General features: G+C 35.3%; 1 protein-coding gene across 22 annotated transcripts in view; it reads left to right on the top strand.

Annotated features, from left to right (window-relative positions):
* The window catches only part of FGF14 (fibroblast growth factor 14), a 691,640-nt gene that overhangs the window by 531,859 nt on the left and 136,695 nt on the right, over nt 1–23,086 (top strand). For all 22 annotated transcript variants that reach the window (NM_001321947.2, NM_001379342.1, NM_001321948.2 and 19 more), the window contains one exon: nt 1,757–1,860. In NM_001321947.2, the coding sequence (NP_001308876.1) occupies nt 1,757–1,860 (104 nt within the window). The remainder of the gene's footprint in view (nt 1–1,756; nt 1,861–23,086) is intronic.

Below are 23,086 nucleotides of genomic sequence, written 5' to 3'. Positions count from 1 at the left end.
TTATGTTTCCCATAACCACATCATTTTGGTGAATTCATGATCTATTTGTTTTCTAAAATTATACTACCTGGCCTATATAAAATATGTGGCACCTACAAATATCATTCTGAGTGTGTGAAAGTTAGAAGAGGAAAGTTAGAATAATTAAATTTGAATTGATTAAGTTAGTGTACCTTGCGTGGACAGTCATATGATTATGGTTTTCCCTCCAAAATTTTGTGTATAAATCAGGAATTATTCTATGGTGCCCATTCTTTCAAGATGTAAGGGGAGATGGTACAGTTCAGGTGTTCTAAACAAGAGTGAATATAGCCATCTCCCACCAAGAAGGAATACTGAGAGTCGCCAAATGGCACAGGTAGCTGTACTCAACAACTCCACATCTATATTTAATATTAAATAATGGAAATGAGGAAAAAAAACTAATTCTTTCATAAGAATAACATAATCCCCTAAAATCCTATAGCAGAAAATCTGATATTAGTTTACGTAGTGAAACTAATATCCAACTAACCATAGATGCCCCTGAGTATTTTTCCAGGGATAATATTCATGGCTCTGGCCTGAGGTTTTCCTTTTATATTTGTGTAGCACAGACATCTTGGGATCTTGAAAACAGTAGCTTGTAATAATCAGAAGAGAGGGTGTAATTTTCTTCAACCTATTAGGAGGAAACATGTCCCTGAGAATTAAATATAACACAATTTGTAAAGTTTGTTTTTAATTATGTACTACTTAGACCCTTGGAATGAAGTCCAAATTGCCCACATTTTTCAAATGACTTGGTTTTGTGCAATACAGTTGAGAGCCTGAGTTTGGATACTGTACTTACACTTACATCACTATTTTAGTGCTTTCATTTCCTGTTCTGTCCTGCTTAGAATTAGACTTAGTTAAGAAGGACTTGAGTAGCAGCAGATAACCTCACTGTAAATAATTAATAGTTCTCTTACAAATGTATCTATAATAAAATCTCCAAAATCATCAAGCAGTTATCTCTAAGACTGATGCAAGAAAACCTACTAAACATTCAACATGCAGCACTGCCATGGAAATACATTAAAGGGATGTTAAGTTTTTTTAATGTTATAACGTTGCTATCTGCACTATGCAAAAATATATAAAATGCTTTTAACATTTTATCAACAGAGAAGAAACAAAACATGGAAACATAAATGAGTAGCCTCTCTGACATTTGCATGCCATTCAGTTTTGATTAGTTCTTTCTAAATTTAGCTCCTTGGCAGGTGCACATCTTTTCCTGGCTTCGCTGGCGTATCATATTGGTTCTACCACCGTCATTTAGTTTTGGAATCACCTGTTTAACTTCTGGCCTGACCTCATTGCAATGACAAATCACACCTTCTGTGCGAAGGGTCAGAATAAACACTCGACTTGGACTTTTAAAATTCTGCTCTTTGAGAGACTTCACAGTTGATTTCTTTTGGTATCTAATGGTGTCAGAGACAGTGTTTCTAGAGGCACGATTACAGGCTTGGTTCTGTTTATTGTCGCATCAGCCCTTCAGAATGCTGTCAGCAAGACTGCTCACATTTAAAGGTTGAAGCTGAAGTACTCATTTTACCCATAGCAGAAACTTCTTACTTATAAAGCAAAATATAAGTTATTTAATTGGAATTTCTAGAAAGTATTGGCAAAGATGATGTTTCTTAAATAAAATAAATCAGAAAGAAAAAATTACACTCTGCCCTGCTTCTTCCTGCCCATTCATGATAGACAATGTTTATCTTCACAGCACTCTTCAACCTCATACCAGTGGGACTACGTGTTGTTGCCATCCAGGGAGTGAAAACAGGGTTGTATATAGCCATGAATGGAGAAGGTTACCTCTACCCATCAGTAAGTAAGACGCCAAAGATCTCGGCCATTCGTTCAATGCATGTAAAATAACAATGGCAGCAACAACAAAAAGAAAGTTCTATGTCTGTTGTTTCTGCCAGTTTTTGCCTTAGTATTTGATCTTTGCGAGAATGCTTAGAAGCTGTTTATTATTCACCAGTGTTTAGTAATATGAGTTTATCTAAAGGAAGTGTAATACTATGTCTTAAATAGTGCTTTTGCCATATTTTAAAAAATAACCTAGTATACACGTGAATCTAATCTTTTGTATTTCTAGTTAGAAATGCACTTATCTTAGAGAGTTTCTTATAATGTTTTTAAAAGAAACAATATGAATTCTAAAAAAAGAGAAAAGTAAAAGGAGAGTATTTTCTAAAGTAAGAATTCAAATTGTGTGGATATTTTACTGAAAAAATAACTACTTATAATATTGAAATGTGTATTTCTTGCAAGCCTCTGTGTTTTGTGGTAATATTTATTGGAAGCTGAGCACTTTTCTAGCCATATGACCTCTTCTGAAATATTTTCTATTTACAACCGATTTGCACTCAGATATGCTGTATTCATGCATATAATGTAGTTAGAATTTATTTCTGCCACAGGTTTAAGCAGTAAAGACTTAAAGGTGCTTTTTTCTATTATCCCTTGAGCAAAAATTGATAAAGTCTTAAATGCATTAAAATATGCTCTTACATGTCATCCTCATGTAAATTCGTTGAAACTCTGTCATTGTTAAATATCACCACCAACAAAACTATAGATAAATATACACATATTGTGTGTGTGCGCGTGTGTGTGTGTGTGTGTGTGTGTGTGTGTGTGTGTGTGTGTGTGTCTTAAACAGAAACATTCTCCAGGGGGCCTCCCAGAAAATGTAATCTATTTTCTTCAGTCAATTTGGGAAATCCTGTCACAGGGAAATGAAGTCTGCGCTGTGGATTCCCTTCATGCTGAGCTCAAAAGTGCTGGCTCTTCTTATTCTGAGTTCCCTGAAGGGTGTTCCCACACAGAGAACTGGGTCCCACATTATGCAAATTGTGTTCTCTCGCACAAGACGAATATGCAGCATGTTGCCAGCAGGATCAAGCTAGAATTCCCTATGCTCCCTTTAGAAAAAATTAAATACGAAAAGGATTACTTTCTAGAGATGCTTTATTTTCAGATACAGCTCAATCTTTTTGATTTGGAACTTGCTCTGTTATTTTTGTTTCTTTATCTTCTTCCCAAGTAATATTTTAGGGGCCTAAACATCATTAGATGCAGTGTCTACTGTAGCTTCTAGTTCTATCTTTCTGTTAGTAATTGTATCACATTGCTGTACTCTGATACATATGTTGATGACAGGGAAATTGAAATATTTGTTTTATCTTTGTGCTGCTGAGAGAGTTGCTTTTTATTTATTTATTTTTTGTCATGTGGTTGTAAATGTATGCCATTCTTTTTTAAAGGTAGGGTATATCATTTTGAGTATGTGTCTTAGCCTAAAATAAAAGTATTGATTATGCTTGGTGCAGGCTAAGCAGTAGGAATAGAAACAAGAAATGTGTTAACTGCCAAGTCCAGTCCCCTGCATTTTAAATATGGTTTCCGCATGCAGAAATCAGATCTCATGAGGGTCACTGCGTGCAATAGCATTTGCCCAGGGTGAGTCCCGGGAACAATTTAAGGCTTGTTACTGGGTACGTTGTTCTCTCCTCTCCCTTCTTCCTTCTGATTCTCCAGTTGCTTGGCTTCCAGGCCTCCCCTTTGGTGGCTTTATTCTCTGACTTACAGATGTTGGTGTTCTCCTCTTCCCATCCTTGACTCTTTGTTCTGAACCCAAAGTCTGGTAAGAGACACAGTTCACTCAGCCCCTACCCTAAGGGATCTCCTGTGCCTAGGCCAGGCCACTGTATGTCTTAGCCATCTTTGGAAAGAGGACTTGGATAAAAACCAAAAGCGATTATGAATCTATATCAGTACCTCCTAATTAAACTGCTCTGTTTATTTCAATGTAAAAAAATTTGAACTTCAAATATTTCAGTACAAATAATTATCTGCAAGTATTTATTCCATAATTTGTTACTGAGAGCCTACTAAAATAGTAATATAGAGCACAATATAGCAATTATTATCCTATAAAATAATAGCTATATCTATACAATAACAATAGTGATGATATTTGTACAATCCACTCTGTCTAGCACTGTTCTAAGCACTTTACCTGTATTAGCTCATTTAATTATCCCAATAACCTTTTATAAGCAAATATTATTAAAATAAGGACACTGATATACAGAGAGTTTAAGAATCTGCCCAAAGTCACTCAGGTGGTAGATAGAAAAGATAAGATTGGAGCATAGTTAGTATGACTCATTAGCTTACATTTTTAACTGTTTTATTATCACTGCTTTTATGTGCCAGACATTTTTTCATAATATGGTCTGACACCTTTTCTAACAAGAAGTTATAAACACATTATGATGTAATGAAAAACTTTTAGGGAATTGTTACCTAGGAAATAAACTGTATTTCAGTGCAATTATTGAGAAGTATAATTTCAAACATAATCTGTTTCCTTTAAAGATTTTTGAGTTAAAATTAAAATAATAGAAAATTTGTCAAGAAAAAGTTTGATATTATATTATGGGTATTAATTTTTTTTATATTTATTACATTTAACATTTAAGCTTTAAGTTTTAAAAGCCATGACAAACGTTGTTAACCCAACTAAGAAGTTTTGAACTAAGATGAGTAAATTTTTGAAAAAATGACAGCTCCAGTCAAGCTCAGATTTAAAGAAAGAAGTTAATGGAGATTTAAATCAGACAAATGAAGTCATCCATTCTAAGTTTATCCTAATTTTTTAAAAAGTTAATTTAATTTTTGTGCAGTGTAAACTAGAGTCTAATATGAAATTGATTTTTTTGAAGATCCATAGGTTTAGAAGTAGTCAATAAAATACTCAGGTCATCTAATTTGAATTCTGGTAAACGAATATCACAACGGTGATTTGACTTGAGGTGTATCTTCCTCTATTTTTATTTCAGGAAGTAACTTTCATACTCCTTTGCTATCCAAATAAGATACTTAATGTGTCAGATAATTCCACCTTCTGGAGACAGATAAAAGGTACTTGACTGAGATGTAAGTTCCCATTTCCAATGCTAAAGGCACCTGTTCTCTGGGGGATCTTTTCTTCAATATGATGATAGTTATTTCTTTTGTGGTCCTAATGATTGCAATATGGTACTTGATATTGTGCTACAAGAGATTTAATGTCGGATACAAGCCATTTGATTGAAGGTACAGTGTGGGCTACAAGGACGCAGAATAGAAACTGTCAGAGTAATAATTCTGCCAAAAAATTAGACAGTTTAAAATGATGTTTATGAACAAAAATGTACTTTAACCACTTATCACTATTTCTAGTGCTGAGAGAAGCAGTCAAGTTTTTTGTTTGCTTGTTTGTTTTCCAAGCCTGTGACTTTGAAAGACTAAGAAAATCTTCCGTAGAAAGCTAAGGTTTGGAATGTAAATTGTAAACAATAAGGAAAAACTGGTAATGAAAGGAAAATGTCATTCATCATCAGGGCAGGGATAAAGGATAGTTGAAGTGAGAATGTGTTTCTGGCATAAGAAAGATGGAGAAGAAAAAGAAGGACGTAAAAGAGACTGATGATACAATGAGTAAATCTCTGGGCTTTATTCAGAACACCTGGGTCCTGGATCTGACAACCAATACCTGTGTTAAAACTTCCTAATCTCTCCTAGTCTGCCCCCTCATCTGTCAGATTACATGATTTCTCTTGAATCCTTCAAGTTAATTATGGGGTTTACAATTCTGGTTTTAGTATGATTGATTTTTCTGAATGATAAGGTAATCTTACATAAAATGCATAGAGATTCCTTATTGGTATTTTATCACAGGCTGGCATTTATGAGAATATTATTTTCCTCCTGGTGCCATCAGTGCTTCCATGTTCTAGGTGCAGGCATCTTCGCGGTCGTAAGTGCCAGTGTTCTCCTGAAATTAGCATCTCATCTGAATCTGTTAACCAGATTGTATAAGTGGAGAGAAATATAATCCTTTTTCATGTTGATTTTAAAAATAAACCAGGAAAATTCAAGGTTACCATGTTTTGCAAATATTAGGGCTCACGCGAATCACCTGGAAAGCCAAGAAAAGTACAGATTCCTTGGATCACCATCTAGATATTTTAGTTCAGTGGGTCTAATGGGAGGCCCGAGAATCAACAGTTTGTAAGGGTCACCCTCCCTCACTTCTGCCGGTTATTCTAAAGTTACTATTTCAACTGTGGACAATCACACAACAAGCATTGCTGCAATGGTATCTGGGGGAGACGGTGATAACGTTAGACCAAGGTGATGGTAACAGAGTTGGTGAAAATCAGTAAATGGACTACTCAGGCATTGAAACTAAATATTTGGATTTTCTAACTGTTCTACCACTAAGCTGAAGTTTACAGAAGTTTGAAAGCAGACCAGCATACTTCTTCACTTAAGCAACAACTCAGAACTTCTGGAATAGGGACTGGTCATCTCTGTGGGCTGGCATCACCTCTCCTACCTATCCATACAGGATAAATATGTATATATGAAAGTTCTTTAATCAAGGAAAGAAAGATAAATGCTATGTATTCCTCAGTAAGCATTTTCAAGATCATCAAAGTCTTATCCACTCTACATAAGATAGTGTTCTGATATCATATCTTTCAGGAGCATTTTCAAATGAGCCTCTTCTACAAAGGTGGTTTCACCTGCCCTCCTCTGTGCCAGCAGGCTTCTCTTATTGATGTGTCCTGAGTTGTGTTTCCGTCTGTCCTTAGCTTTCCAAGAGCACCCAGGCATAAAAGCATCCGAGCAACCCACCTCATGCTTCCATGAACTGTTCATCTTCTTGCAGGATCTATAATTCTAGCAAAACAAGGTGGAACAATGTTATTTTCCTCTTGAAATTTATTCCTCTCTTCGTTGCTCAAGTTTAGGGTATAGAAATACAACTGCTCTGTTTTATCAGTATGGTACCTATCATCCTTCAGAGTCTTTCTAATCTTCCCTAAGAGTAACACACCCAAAGACATACATGTCCCTCACCTGTAAGTACACACTCATGGAGTATTGCGTGAATTCATTGCCCATCCCTAGCACCTGTCCTGTCTCTGAGTAACACCTTTACATGCCGATTCTCATAAAAATGTTCACTATTTACTCAGACATTGGCAGGGCTTCCTATTCCTCCTCCCCCAGGTTTTATGTTTATTTGTTTTGTTGTTGTTTGCTACCAGGCAGTGCATGTGCTTAATCAAATAAACTGAGCTCTAGTGGCCATCACTGGCCATCAACATCCATTGCAGGCAGACCAAGGGCCTTGGCAGCATTTGAGGGTTGCTCATCCTGGGGAAGAGCCTTTCATTCTCCCTGGGAGCACTAAGGCAAAGCTATACCAAGTTCATCTAGTTACACACAGGTGCCCCTTTAAGAATGGAAATTATTTTATTCTTTATCTTTTATTCTTCATCTCTCTGAACAGGTTGGTTTCTTTATCATAAAAAGTATATTAAACTTGAGATGATTATTAATGTCTCCAATTATTATAACAATCTATGACACTATGCATGTTTTTCTGCACAAACAATATCTAACACTTTTTGGGGATATATATACACATAGACACACATATATAATTCTCATATGTATGTGTATGTTTCATTGGAATTATGCATTCTCCTCAAATTATATATACATTTATCCCACGATTATGAGTGTTTCTGTTTATATTAATAAAATGTTAAATAACAGTTTTACATTTGCACATACTTTAAAGCTTTACTTGTCATGCTTTAACAATATTTCTTTTTTTAATCAAGCTTTTCTGTGACTTCTTTCACATTAGAGTTCAGTTGGATATATCTGCCAGGTTGAAATGGCTATTATCCTTTCTTGGTATCTTGGCCAAGATAATTTATAGTATTAATAAAGCAAGTATGATACTTCAGCTAATTTTCCCCCTAATGCTAATTTCAACATCCAGCATTCGTGTAATTCCCATGACATTGAATATTGATGCACAGAATGTAATTGGTTATGTCCAAGAATGCCATTATCTACTTAGGGTCACTAACTGGAAAGGAAAAGAATTTGAGAAACAAATACAGCTAGTAAACTGCATTTAACTAGTTATAAATCATCTTTTGGACAACAGAAATTATGGAATATCCAATTTTTTTATTTGTTAGGTTGAAGCTAGATAACAGAAATAAATTACTTTGATACTATCCAGATTCCAGTGACATTTTATGGAATATAAAGAGAGACATTGGAGTGGATAGTGAAAAAGATACTGAGAGCCTAAGAAAAAGAAGAGGAAAAAAAATAAATATAAAGGAAAGAAGATAATAGAACAGCAGTAGTCAGATGCTTTGGCAGCATTGTGGAAAGAAAAGAGAAAAGAAGAGAAAGGAGAGAGGATGGGAGGATGAAAAAGGAAGGAAATGAAGAAAACCCATCACAAGAAGAGAAAGGGAGACCTTGTTTTCTGCCTACTCCACCATGTTCCTGGAATCCACCTGACTCCTGATTCTAACTTTCTACGTGGTGTAGAAAAACAAAACCATCCCTCTTAAAGCTCAGCCCAGTTTCCTACCATACCAAAATTACCTTATCTGCTCTAGCCCCTTGGACACATTCACCTATTTCCCCTTCCCAAAAGTCCTCTTCTAGAGTGATGGCTGTGTTTGCTTCATGTGAATTTCAGGCAAAACAAAGAACAAACAAACAAGAAAACCGCTATGATCATAGTTAACTTCCAGAGGATTTCACTGGTGACAGTGAGAATGAGTGGAAAGGGATGTCAGCAGTGTCTAAAATCTACCGCAGTTATCCGAATGAGGATACTGAAAACTTGAATTAAGAAAGAAAGCTAAATAAGGCTTGAAAACTACGAAACATTTGTCATTGCGTTTTCTTGGCTTGTTTTTGGATAATGTGCGTGTGTGTATGTGTGCTGTGGGGGCAGGGGTTCTGTGTGATCTGAATGCCTTTAGGTGAGGCATGCACTCCACTACTGTGGCCACATGGTAACCACTCCTTAATTTTAGAAAGGAAGACACAACACACACAGGCTCCCTTTGTTTCTGTACATATGTTGACTTTGTTTATGTGCCTTGCAGACACTAGTGTCTGCAACTTCTGAATTAAAGGGGTGGAAAAAATCAGAGATATTTAAAAGTGTTTTCTGAGGAACTGTGGAAAGAACTTCATGGTTGTCTGGGTATGGAGACAGCAGAGTCACAGCTCATCTGGTAAGACTGGCTTAGAACTAGGTAAGCTGTGATGCTTTTCACTAAGAAAATAAAGCCCAGAAGCAGGACAGGGTGGGTGGATGGAGTAAGATGCTGCATTTGGTTAGGGACCTGCTTAGTTTGCCCACAGGACATCCAAGTGGATTATAGTCATGGAATGACTATTGGATGATGATGAAGCTCATTGATCCTAGAAGGATCACATCTCAGGGCTGTCTTGGGAAAGCTGTGCAGATAGAATCAATTCTGTGACAGATGGTAATTGTTTTTCTATTCTTCCTGCATGTGAGACAAAGATGAATATGCTGGGTCAGTGACATCAGCATAAAGTTAGATATTACAAAGAAGTTTATTAAATAACATGAGGTCTTGAGAAATCTTTCTCACATATTTTGATTCATAAGTATATAGAATCTACATGCTCAATTTTGGATACTGGATAATAGAGCAGAATACTAGCTGAATTAAATTCAAAACTTGTGTTTCTACAAAATTGATGCTAATAATATATGAAGGGAATATCAGGGCTTCAGATCCTCTCATAGTGGTTCACAAACATCAATATTTATAAGACTTATTGAAATGATTTTGAAAATGACCTGATCTCAGATATTAACAAAACAGAATCCAAGACTCCAATTAAGTGGTTTCAACATGCCTCAAGAATCATAATTTTGAGGGCTAGGCACAGTGGCTCATGCCTATAATCCCAGTGCTTTGGGAGGCTGAGATGGGGAGATAACTTGAGCCCAGGAGTTCCAGGCTGCAGTGAGTTGCGATCACACCACTGCACTCCAGCCTGGGCAACAGAGTGAGACTCCATTTCTAAAAATCAAAAAAGGAATCATAATTTTGAATATATATCCCAGGCATGTCTAGTGCTGGTGACCAAGGTCTAAACTACTTTCCCACAAATCAGACTTTTCAACTGCCTGCTTTTATATCTACCATTGATTATTGTCATTACTATTATTATAATTTATAAATTCCTAGTTCAGGGCTTGAACTAGGAGTAAGCAGAATGACATGACCATACATAGAGCTCACCTTTTCCATTAACCAGATGAGTTGGCCTTTGGGGAGTGCATAGAGAAAACTTCTGGTTGTGGTCACTCCTCTTAGTCTGTGGGAAGAAAAGGACAAGAAATGTCTCCTCGAGCACCAAGATGGTATAGAGAAAGACAAGACTTCTGCTGAGACTTCAGAAAATGAAATAAGAAATGATAGAAAGAAAGCAAGACATTAAATTTTCAACCAATAATGGCTGGTTTGCAATCTTGAAAAAGAGATGTAGTCTGCACCACGTAAAGCTCAAAGGAGAAATCAGCCTGAGACCATCGACAACAGGGCTGGCAGGCGCCTGCTGAGTTGAAGGGCATGACAAGAGCATCCTATTGGAGCAGGTTGTCAATGTCAACCAACCTGGATTGTTTCAGAGGTGGTTGCTTTTTAGATTAAAAAAAAACAATAAAAATAGATAAAACTGTATTTAATAAATCGCTTCCTTTCCCTAGCCTTCTGTTTTCTCTGAAGCTTCATTTTGTCTGTATCTAAGCAGAGATTTCCAGACAAGTTCCATTTCTGGGTTAGAGGAGATGTCCTTCTCCTTCCAGAGGTGATCAGCAGTTACATCAAGGTGCTCAGTATGAGACAGAAGTGGCTCGTCCTCCATGTCCAGTGTGGACAGTGGGTTGTTCCCATATGGGCCCATCATAACACGTATTTCCTAACTACAACCAAAACCATACGACCTACTTAACAAATATCAAACACACAAACTACTAACAAAAGGGTTTGCAAGAAATATGTGGAAAACCATTCAACTCAATATTCATAACTTAAATATATGCTGAGGAGTAGAGCTCTTGGTATCAAAGTGTATATTAATGAATTCATTTATTTGCTCTTTCAGCAAATATTTATTGTACTCCTTCCATTGTCAGCTATTGTACAACATGTGCGAAGACTTCAAAGATAAGTTAAAAATTGTGGTTTAAAATTGAAAAAGAAAAAATAACAAAAACCTGAAAGTCCAATAGACAACAGTTAAGTTAACCATTGAAGGACATTTTGACTAGATGAATTCTAAGAGTTCTATCTTTTCTCAGAATCTGTGATTCCATGAAAATATTTGTCCCATTTCCTCAAGTAGTGACAGCTATGTAGGGAGTTTTTAATCTGTACTTCTTGATTAATTATTGTTAAGGTGAAACCAATTTTCACAGTACATTTTATTAATTTATTCCTCGAGTGGCTTCATGTTCATGAAATGTACTGTGCACATCACTTGTCTTTTTTCCCCGCTGAAAAAATTCAGTGTCAGCAAAGAAGATATGTCAATTTCTCAAGTTAAAATTGCAGAAAAGTACTTATTTACACGCTGCTTTGCTGAAAGAGCATGATAAATCCACAGACACAGAGGCAGATGTTCAACGGCTGCATTCTAATATGGCCATATTTGCATTAATGAAGTGAGTGGTAATGTCGTCTTTAACTTAAGAGAGAATCTCAGGGGAGAAAAAATAAAACCCTAATTTTTAGTAAATGTTGCCACCACTTAAACTTGAACGTTTTAAAGCAAGAGCATTAATAATTATAATTAGAAAAAGAGCTTTGTTATTTCTACATGTTCATAAAATGACACAAAATACTTTGGTTTTATATTTTCTTTCAGCGTCAAAGAAGAAAGTCATAAACATCACTGCAGTTTGCATTTTTATCCTGATTTCCTCTGGGGGTTAAAAACTATATAAACTACTGTAAATAGTAACAACATTTATATTGATCAAAATGTTTCAAATTTTGGTTAGCTATATTTGTGAATGGTACATGGTAGGTGGTAGATGGTGAAAATAATTTTTATATGTAAGGAGTTTCAAAGATGATCTAAAACATGAAGGCCTAAAACAATAGATGAAACACTATTTCAAAATGTATTCTCTCTTTGTTTTCACTCTCCATGTTACAAAAATGGCAACAAATTACGTAAATGCCAAGGAAGCCAATATATCATATGGTAAATGACAAATCAACTGTAACATTGAAACAACAATTAATAGCTATTATAGCTATTAAAATTTGAAGCAAAATTGTGCATCTTTAAAAATTATACACACATGTGAGAGGACTCATGACTGAAATCTCAATATACCATCTATCCAAGTTGAGTTATTTTCCTTTTTTTTTTTTTTAAGATAATTATTCTTCTTCCTACTTCTGGGAGGGACAGTGTATGGGAGGTACCTGTCAGGCACTGTGAGAACCCTGGGCTCTGAACAGATATGGGGTATTTCTCTCAGTATCCTCAATGCAGCTCCAATAACTAATCCCATTTCTTAATCACTTTGGAATTAATAAGAAAAATAATTTATTTTAGAAATTCACAAAAATATGTAAAACAACTTTTTTCTTTTTTTCCAGAGGAATAACTAAAACAATTCTTATTGAAAAGCCAAACTATACATTTTTCTTCACAAGTTGTATACTAAAAATTGGCAAAATAACTCCCTCAGTGATAACTTTCATTGTTTTTTCTTTTTTATGTTGTTTGTTTCTATGGATTTTATATAGTTTTAAAACTATAAGCTATTGAAACAATAGTGTGTATTTATTTGACTGAAAATATTGGCCACATTTTTATGGTAATATGACCTGTCCACCAGAATTGATCTAACACATTCTAGAGCTTAGAGAAAAATAGTGATGACAAAGATAGACGCAGATGCAGTCTTGTGGGACCTAAGAGTTTCTACAGATGTGAGTTCCATGCTCACTACATTTTAAGTTTGACTTCACTACATTATGGAAAGACATATTGTGCTCTGTGCTATTTAGGGTTTCACTAAATGTTGGTTGTTGGTGTTCAGATAACTCATCCAGCCTGGAAGGCAATTTCATTGAAAGGGTGCACAATGTTCTTTTCAGCAGAAACATATTAGATCTCTGAGGGGTTTTGTCCAGGGTTAGACCTTGGTTTTAAGATTTGACCACTCCACTATATTAAATAAAGAGAGATGAGTCACATGTTAATAAACATGTCCCAGCCCATACAAAAGCACCATAATTGGTTGCTATTTGCTGTTCTAATTGAGGTAGAGACTGAATGGGAATAACGTATTTTTTGTGAGGCTTAGGAATAACTAGATTTTTGTTCTCTGACAAGGTGGAGGTATTTTATTTGGGCATTCATCCTGGCTCCTATCTATTATTTAGCAGAAATCATTATGTGGGCAAAAAAGAAACATCATTCTACTTTACTATTAAGCTGACACTAGTGTCTAATGGTACTAACCCAATAAATTGGTGAATATTGGTTTATTCCATGAGAAAAGCATCTGTTGATGTTATGAAATAAATTAACTGTGTGTGCCCTTCATGAGGAAACAATGACAAAGAGTTGATACTTAATGACTCCCCGTTAATGTAAACATCTCCAATGAACTCATCTGCCTTTCCACTATGGACCTTTTATAATACTGTTTCTATTACCTATACCGTAGACCACGTGCAAAAGAGATGCCTGTCACAGCAAATTATTTTCTATGGTGGGCAATACTGTGTTATGGTTCAAAAGTATCGGATTCCTAGCTGTATTTCAGACATAGCTTTGAAGAAATCAATGTCTTTCTTGCTTATAGGTAATATAGAATAAAATTGTAACATGATGATATATTACCTTTGAGAGTTGTATAGTTATTGTGTTATAAGAAACAACTGTTTTATTAGAAGTCAGAAGCATAGAAGGTAAAATGCTTACAATGCAAAGATGCAAATTTATTTGCAAGTGCCTTCTTTGTAATCAAAATGTGCTCATATTCTTACGGTTGTGTTAAATGGTAAAATAATGGTAACAAAATTATGCAACTCTGGAAGAAGTCATAGCCTCGACCACATTATTATTTAAATATTGCCATTTAACATTTCACTTCCTGTTTTATAATCATAAATTGTTATCAACAGAGGTAATATAATTTTTGTATTAAAATTATCAGTAGTAATTATTGAATAAAATTCTTCCTCTTGGTATATAGTAATAGATATTGCCAGTCGAATAACTCTACCTCCCATTTAATGGTAGCCACTATGCCTAAATTCTACACTATTTTTCAAAAATATCAATTAGAAATCTATATTTCTAGCAATATTAATAACAGAAATCAACTTTTAAACCATTCAAAAGTTGTCTAGACAATTTTTACCTAGAGAGGAAGTAAGAGGCATTCTTTTAATGTCCATGGAGAAATAAACTCTAACTTGAAATCTTGTATTAAAATAATAAAAATTATTAAGAAATTTTTTCCACAGATGCCATAAATGGTTTAGCTATTTTCCTAATGTAGTTTGAGTCATTTGAAAGACGGTTTTACAGAGTTAGCAAAGCCAAATGGATACTCAGGAGAAGTAGCAGTGAGACTTTATTTAATTTAAAATTACATTGTACAAGAAGGCTTGCACACTGAAGTGGATAGACAGAAGAATTGGGCAAGAGTTCCCCTGTGTTCTTAAAAAAAAAAAAAACTTGTAGGAATTTGAATGCAGACAAAGGTATGATTAATTTTTATGCATCATCCATGCAATAACAACAACAACCATAAAAAGAAAACCATGTCAGCAATATGCGGTTGTTTAAATGCAAAGTATGTTAAATTACACTCTGGTTCTCTGAGCCACGAAAGCCAGTCTTTATTTTACTTTATGCTTCATGGTCAGTTCTTCAAGCCAATTAAAAATCCCTCAGACTTTTCAAACCATGAACTATCAGGTCCAAAATATGATGCAATTTTAACTTTTTTATAAATAATAACTTCATTATGTTTCTAATAGTGATTAGGAAATACTGTTGAATATGGCACATAGCAGGACTTAATTTCAATTATCAGATATTCCAGCCATTTTCTGAACAAGAAAGAGACTGGCCCAGGGGTCTGCTGAAACTTTTCATATCTGGCAAATAATTAGTGTATACTAATTTATACAGTGGTAGAATGTTAAAATGAACTTAACCATTCTGTTCAATGTCTAATTACATTTTCTATTGATGTCAGTGTTTTACCTAGAAGCATTTGGTACTTTAAAATAGTTTTGACATTTAAAAAGTGATATATTTCATTCTTGATTATGTGAAATGGTGACAGTAAGAACAGCAAGTTGAAGATGAAGACACATAAAGCCCAGGTTGTGCAAAAGTAGGAAACCCAAAGCCCAGAGTCACTGTTAATGTATTAAGAAATTATTATCATTAATGTCACGTCAAAGTGAGTTTGTTAAGGATAAGTCTATAACCTGAAGGGTTGAATGCAGAATGCGTGGGTGTGATACCACTAGAGAAAAGTAAAATGAGTTTCTTAAATGTGTTGTGTGTGTGTGTGCATTTGTGTACAATTATTATATAATCATGAACTAATAAGACAAAGTCTTTCCTACACAATGGGAAGGGTACACACATAAAATTTGGTATTCTGATATGTACTCATAGGTATTTTTCTCTTTGTTATAGTTAAGGGATTTTCCTGCACACTCATTTGTGGAGGCTATGAAAATAAAATCCATCCTTAGGGCTATTGTGTAAGATCTATAATTCACAACTTCTGATATTTTTAACTCTTCAAAGGCAAATGACTTCTGGAATTCATTTCTTAGGTTACAGAGTAGGATTGATAGGTGGACAGGTATCATGGGAGGAGAAAATGCCCAGCTCAAAAGATTGAATGAGAGTTGGCAATAGGACCAGCACTTATTTAAGCATATGGGCCTCTGAGTGACCTTGAGAATTCTGAATGACTTTTTACAACATGATGATGACATTTGAAATGCTTTCCAAGAAATGCATAAAACACTCCATTATGTTTCGTTTAATCTTCAGATATTGTGATTACATTTTGACAGAATGGTGGCAATTAATTATACTAGGTCAGCAAACATCACCATGTCCATCATATACACATGAGGAACAAGTCAGAATTTCAACAGCTCTGCAGTAAGCCTGGTGTGTTTAGTGTGAGCAGCAGTATTCTCCTCTCTCTGACAGTTCTTCTAATACCATAGAGCAATCTCAGTGATGAAACATCAGTTTAGTAGGGAATGAATGAGTGTTGTTTCTATTCTCTTATATACTTTGGGATCACTCTTAGAAATCTTAGGAAGACTAAAATTATGATAACAGCAATAAGCATTTATAATTATGCATAAATGCATATACATACTTGTTATAATCTCAAATAAAGAAAAGATTCCATCCAAACACATGATTCTTCTAAATTGTACGCACACAGTTTGAGTACCTGTAAGATATCTGCAAATGGAGTTAAATGTAATAATTTCTAACATTGTGTTTGCCTGCGTTAGGAACATATCTCAACAGTACTGCAATGTAGAATAGATAGTTTAAATGAGCATTTTTATCTCATCATATAATAGTGATTCAGCAAATATGATGGTTGTGCAGAGATGTTTGAGACTGAAATCAAAATAGAGCCGTCAATGCATGTAATAATTTTGAGGTCACATAATGAATTTGAAATAAAATTAATAGAGAATCCTTTTCTTTTGATGAGGAGTTAAAATATATATAATGAATACTTGAGTATCAGTCTGTAATTTTTTTTATTCCCCAAAGTGATTAGTAGTGAGGGCTATAATGTGTGGGAATATTCAAAATATTTATATGGCCATGCATGGTGGCTCACACCTGTAATCCCAGTGCTTTGGGAGGCCGAGGCAGGAGGATCACTTGAGGATAGGAGCTTCAGATCAGCCTCGGCAATATAGTGAGACCCTGTCTCTACAAAAAATAAAATTTTAAAATATTATCCAGGTGTGGTAGTGTGCACCTGTAGTCCTAGCTATTTGGGAGGCTGAGGAGGATCATAGGAGCACAGCACTTGGAGGTGACAATGAGCCATGATCATGCCACTGCACCCCAGTCTGGGAGACATAGCAAGGCCCTGTCTCTAACTAAAAAAATTGAAAATAAAAATAAATAAATAATACACTGAAGTATTTTTGTGCAGATTTATCAGATATGTATATTATTATTGCTTTCACTATGAAGAGAGAATTTGTTGGTAATAGGTTAGTGTCAAAGTTGCTTCTTTCAGTGACTGTCAGTCCCTTTCCTTGCCACTCCCAAAGGGGTGATGAGGTCAGATACTTCCCCATGAACCAGAATAGACAGTGGGGTGACAGAAAGGTTGTCTTGGAAATAGAATAAGAGAAACAAGGTGGCGGGCCAAGATTGGGTATCCTACATACCTCCCATAGTTATTTTGATCTTTTTATGTGATCATTCTACACACTCTCAGGTGATCACAAGACTGGGCAACCATCTCTCTCATTGTGTCTCTTATACACCTGCATCAAGCAAGGTGTTCCTAAGTCCTTAATATTCTAAATAAATAGCACTTTCCAAGTATCTGCCTATTTCTGTAGGATTCCCTCAAGGAAATTATTAATTTCCTTACCATAGTCATTAATTCAGCAGACATTGATTTAGGGTGGAATTTGCTTCAATTGCTGGTATTTAAATAGTGACCTAAATGAAATTGTTAGTTTTCTGTGAATATAATCAAGGACACCAAGTTCTCTGGCATTTAAAATATTTCAATTATTATCCACTAAGCAAGACATCTATTTGCATATCGTGTTGGGAAACATAGGTATCTGGTATCATGGGTCCTTGTCCTGGGAAAGGTGGATCAGGTAGGGAAAGAATAAGGAGTTTTGACATCAAGTATTCTTCTTATGTGTCATTAGGTCTGTTGTGGATCTCTGAGTCCTGATTTTCTGTCCTGACAAAGACATTTCCTTTAAGAGAGTGTCATAAAACTTAAAGAAAGGATGTATTTAAAAGCACTTACCCCAAAATCCACACTCAAGTGTTATGACTGTGCAGACAGCCCCACATACGCAAATGGTGTTACTGTTTCACACTGTCTTGTCATTGACTTTTGTCAGCAAGTAACTTGGGATTGTTTTTTTCCTCCTTCAAGAAAAGGATAAAATAGTGTTATGTATAAGAAAAACCCCATATTCTTCAGTATAGAAGGTTGTTTGAAAATTCTACCATTAGAAATATTGTCATGCTTGTGGGTAATTAGGAATTATGATATGTATTAATGTCTTATTGGAAGGATTACAATGATATGAATAAAGTTGAAGTACATAGACCCACGTTTTCTTGACGTCAGCTTTTCTTTGAACACTCATGTGTTTCGGTGGCTGGCATTTCAGAATTGCAGTGATATTGATAGATATGGCAACCAGCCTGTGATGTAATTATTTTAGTAAAATAAAAACACCTCAGTAGCATAAGTGTAATTTCAAATGTTACTTTATTTTTGCTTCTAATCTTCCACTGGGAAAGTCTTTTCTACGCTAGCAGATTATCCAAAGAAAAGCAGAATCTGTTCCTTGAGAGCCCCAGCCCTAGGCACGGCTGACCTGACTGAGCCTCTGATTCCACCACCTACAAGCTGTGTGACCATAGGAGGCTACTTCCCTTAGTGGATAGTAATTGAAATATTTGAAATGCCAGAGGGCTTGGTGTCCTTGATTATATTCATAGGCAACTAACAATTTCATTTAGGTCACTATTTAAATACCAGCAAATGCCTTGGTTTTCTTTGGTTTTAAATGATGGCTTTTCAATTGTGACTATTGAATGAGTTAAAAGATTAAAGTACTCAGAATGATGCCTTACACTTAGCAAGGGCTCTTAAAATGTTAGTAGTGATGAAGACGACGAGGAGGAGGAGAGAAAGGCGAGCTAGGAAAGGGGATGAGAAGAAGCCAGAGGCATAGGTTGAAGTCCCTCGCTTTTGAATCGCCTTGTTTAAACCTCCCTTAAATCCATTGCAGTAGAATATTACTTGATAATTTTATATTATTTCCTTGTCCAGATTGTACATTGCTTAAATGCAAGTGACTGGTTGTAGGAGTTTGCTAGGACTGCGGTAACAAAGTACCGCAAACCTGGTGGCGTAACCAACAGAAATGGATCATCTCAGTTGTCAAGGTCAGAAGCCCGAGATCGAGGTGTCAGCACTCTTGGTTCCTTCTGAGGGCTCAGGGGGAGAAATCTGACCCATACTTCTCCCATGCTGAGTTTGCTGGCAATCTTAGGCATCCCTTGACTGGTAGAAGCACCATCCTGACCTTGCTGTCATGATCACATGGCAGATCCCACAGAACTAGGTAAATCCGCCTGTGTGCCTGTCTCTGTCTCTGTGTTCATTGTCCCTCTTTATAAAGACACCAGACATATTGGATTAGGGCCCACTCTAATAGCTCATTTTAACTTAATTAAAATGAGTGCTAAGTGTCAAGCACGGCTCTGAGTACTGTCATGTTTCAACTCACTTTAAAGACTCTACCTCTGAACATAGTTACATTCATTCATAGCTACTAGCAGTTAGGAGTTTGATGTCTTTTGGGGAAACACAGTTCAATCCATAATGCGCATCTTATTTAACTTCCTATCCCTCATAAATGATATGTAACACCTTCTGCATCTCAGAGACTCAAAAACATGTTGAAAGAAATGACTGAATAAATGAAACTGTTTTGGTTAGAAAGTTGCAAGTAAAATATGAAGAAGGGAAAATTATTCTCATGACTTCTAGCATTTCAGATTGAGCAAAAATCTATTGGGCAATAGTTCTGGATATAGAATATATATACACACTCTATATATCTTCTCTCTCTATATATGTATTATATGTATATTCTATATATATTCTATATATATTCTATTCTCTATATAGAATATATAGAGAATGTATATATCCATTTCTATATATATAGAATATATATGCTATATATAGAATTATATAATATATAATTCTAGAATTCTATATATAGAATATATAATTCTATATATATATATATATATATATAGAATATATAATTCTATATATATATATATATATATATATATATATATATATATATATATATATATATTGCCTTTAGAGACAGAGTCTCGCCCTGTTTCCCAGGCTGGAGTGTAGTGGCACGATCTCAGCTCACTGCAACCTCCACCTCCTAGGTTAGAATGATTCTCCTATCTCAGCCTCCCGAGGAGCTGGGACAACAGGCGCCTGCCACTATGCCCGGCTATTTTTTTTTTTTTTTTTTTTTTTTTTGGATTTTTAGTAGAGGCAGGGTTTCACCATGTTGGCCAGGCTGGTCTCGAACTCCTGACCTCAAGTGATCCACCCACCTTAGCCTCCCAAAGTGCTGGGATTATAGGTGTGAGCCAGCGTGCCTGGCCAGAACACTTAAATATTATATCCACTTGAGTTAGAATTTATTTTGCTTACATTGCATTTGGATAATGGATTATTTGACCCTTCCTCTTCTTCCTGCCTTCCTCTCCCTCTCTCATATTTGCTTCTTATAAATCTCATACTTTTTTTCTTTATTAAGGAACCACATTTATAAAAAATTCTAACTTGTGTGTTTAATTTGGAATGGCCTACAGATCTCAGAGCTTTGGTGGTAGCCTTGTCCCACATCTTCCTTTCATGATGGTGGATATCCCAGAGGAGCTGAATGAGTCTCCCAAGTTCACTCAGTTAATTAGGGGGAGAGCTGGAGTTTGACCTGGTGCTCATGACTCCCAGGAGGAACATTTTCAGGAACTTAATTGCCTCTCAACAATGCAGGATCAGGCATGGAGTTCTATACCATCCATAAAGGAAAGCTTGGCCAAAATACACCTAAACTATGCTCAGCCATGTATCTCTCTCTCATCCATTTCTTTTTTGGATCTAGGTTTATCTTGTTTAATAATCATGTTTCCTCATATTTGTCTAGATTTGGTCGCATACGTAAGTCATACATTTTATGTAAATATCATTAACGTATTCATTGAAAGATAGTATGGATTCTAAGTATAAACATCCGGCATCTTCTACATCAGTGCCCCTGTGCCTAGAGAAGGAAAGTGTGGAGAAGCTTGAGTTGGAGACCTTCCTACTTTTTGTGCACAAGCGGCTGCCCATGTTTATGAAAATTAATGGTAGACAACTAGGGAGTTAATGTAGTAAAACAAAAATGTTCCTCCATTTAAATAAAATTGTAAGCAAACACCTCCTGATTTTGTTATTTGTAAGCATTTGGTTTCCGGTCGCTTACGGTGATTTTGTGTCCCTTCCAGTCCTCAGAAAACCCCCTTTTCCCACTCTAAATGCTGAACATATGTCAGGAGTCAGCAGAAACTACTCAAAGCTGCAATTTGTTAAAAGTATAGATGTGTGAATAGATTTTTCCACACACAGAGACAGAAAAATTCTAACTAGTGGCACATGTCACATTCAAATAATCAGCACTACAAAAATGTCCTAGTTTAAAATACAGGCTGGAAGAACTGAGCAAGGAAGGAAGAGAGGAAAGGAGGTCAGAAGATACAAAAAATGAGCGAGAAAGTAAAAGAAAAATACAAGTCCAATACACTTTTTTTCATTTATACCAACATTTTAATTTTTTCAGGTTTGCAAAGTAAAGAAACTATTAACATTCAGAAGATTTTTTTTGTATGAGTTTCTTTAAATTCCAAACAGACTTTTATTTTTTTATTTTTATATATCTTCAAACTTACAGAAAAGTTGTAAAAATACTGAGAATAACTTCTATACCCTTCATCAAGGGTCAGTAATTGTTTAATGTTTTGCCACGTTTACAAATACTTTTCTCTCCTTGTCTTCCCCTCTCTCTTTGGGTTTATATTAGTACTATTTTCTCAAACCATTTGAGAATTAGTTTGACTATTATTCCAGCCCAGAGTGACTTTCATGGTTATAGTCTCTCTTTTTCTGTTATCCGGTGGCTGGAAAAATTACCTATAGTTCCTGGATTTACCAATCATCTCTAAAACATATAACAAATCTAAACCTCATTCTCGCTGAAGGAATGTGTCTCCCTTGGCAGTCACTCATTTCTTTTGCCTCCTCCTTTCTCTTGTTTTTGATACTAAATTATTACATTACACTTTTTTAGGTTTTTGGAGCTTGACATTTTATTAAATAGAAATGCAATGGAAAGACAACTGGAGTAGGAGTCTATAGAGTTATGTTGTAATTCTGATGGTATATAAGATTACTCTTATGTTCTAATTTTTTTTATTTCCTCTTTGTTCAACCTTTGGGTCTCTAAGAATCCATGTATTCAGTAGTATGAAAGGTAAAATGCATATCTTGACAGGGTTGATGAAAAGATAAAATGGCATAATATAAATTTATGCATATTAAATATGCTTCATTTCCTTGATTTTTAAAAAAATATAATCCTAAGCCTTTCAAGAGGTATAAAATGGTTGCCTCCTTAAATGAAATATGTTAAGTTTAGAATATTAATGTAGTTTTCTAACTGTCTAAACCATTTTAAAATTTCTTCATAAAGATGAGAGTTCCCTGCTTGCGTTGACAAATAGACCTGCTTTCCTACCACATTTAATACTGGTTGTTTCCATTACTCTACTAAATGCAAGGTAGACTACATTTTAATCATAATTTTCTTTCTCTCAGATGTTTGTACTTTACATGCTCTGTTAAACGTTTCCTGTGATTGGAAAATGTCTTAATGTTTTTAATAGGCTTTAAATTTCATTGGATTTCTTCAGTCTGAGATCAACTGTATTCTGCTTTTTATTATATGGGACTACATTAAAGAGATTCTTCTTAAGGCAAAGCCTATGATATTCTTCAATAACTGTAGATTTGAAGATGTATTAACAAGAATTGGAGTTTCTCTGAAAGGGTTAAATGTTTATTTCATTCATTTCACAGAGTATGGTATGAAGTCTTCAACAGAAACTTGATTTCCATCAATCACCCCAATACTTGGCTAATTATCATGTTTTTGTCTATACAGACATGCTTAATCACAAACATGCACACGATCATGTTCATAACAAAAAGAAAGAT

Source organism: Homo sapiens, chromosome 13 (assembly GCF_000001405.40).
Source record: "Homo sapiens chromosome 13, GRCh38.p14 Primary Assembly".
NCBI classification, from domain to species: Eukaryota; Metazoa; Chordata; class Mammalia; order Primates; family Hominidae; genus Homo; species Homo sapiens.
This window is presented reverse-complemented; position numbering and strand designations above follow the sequence as displayed.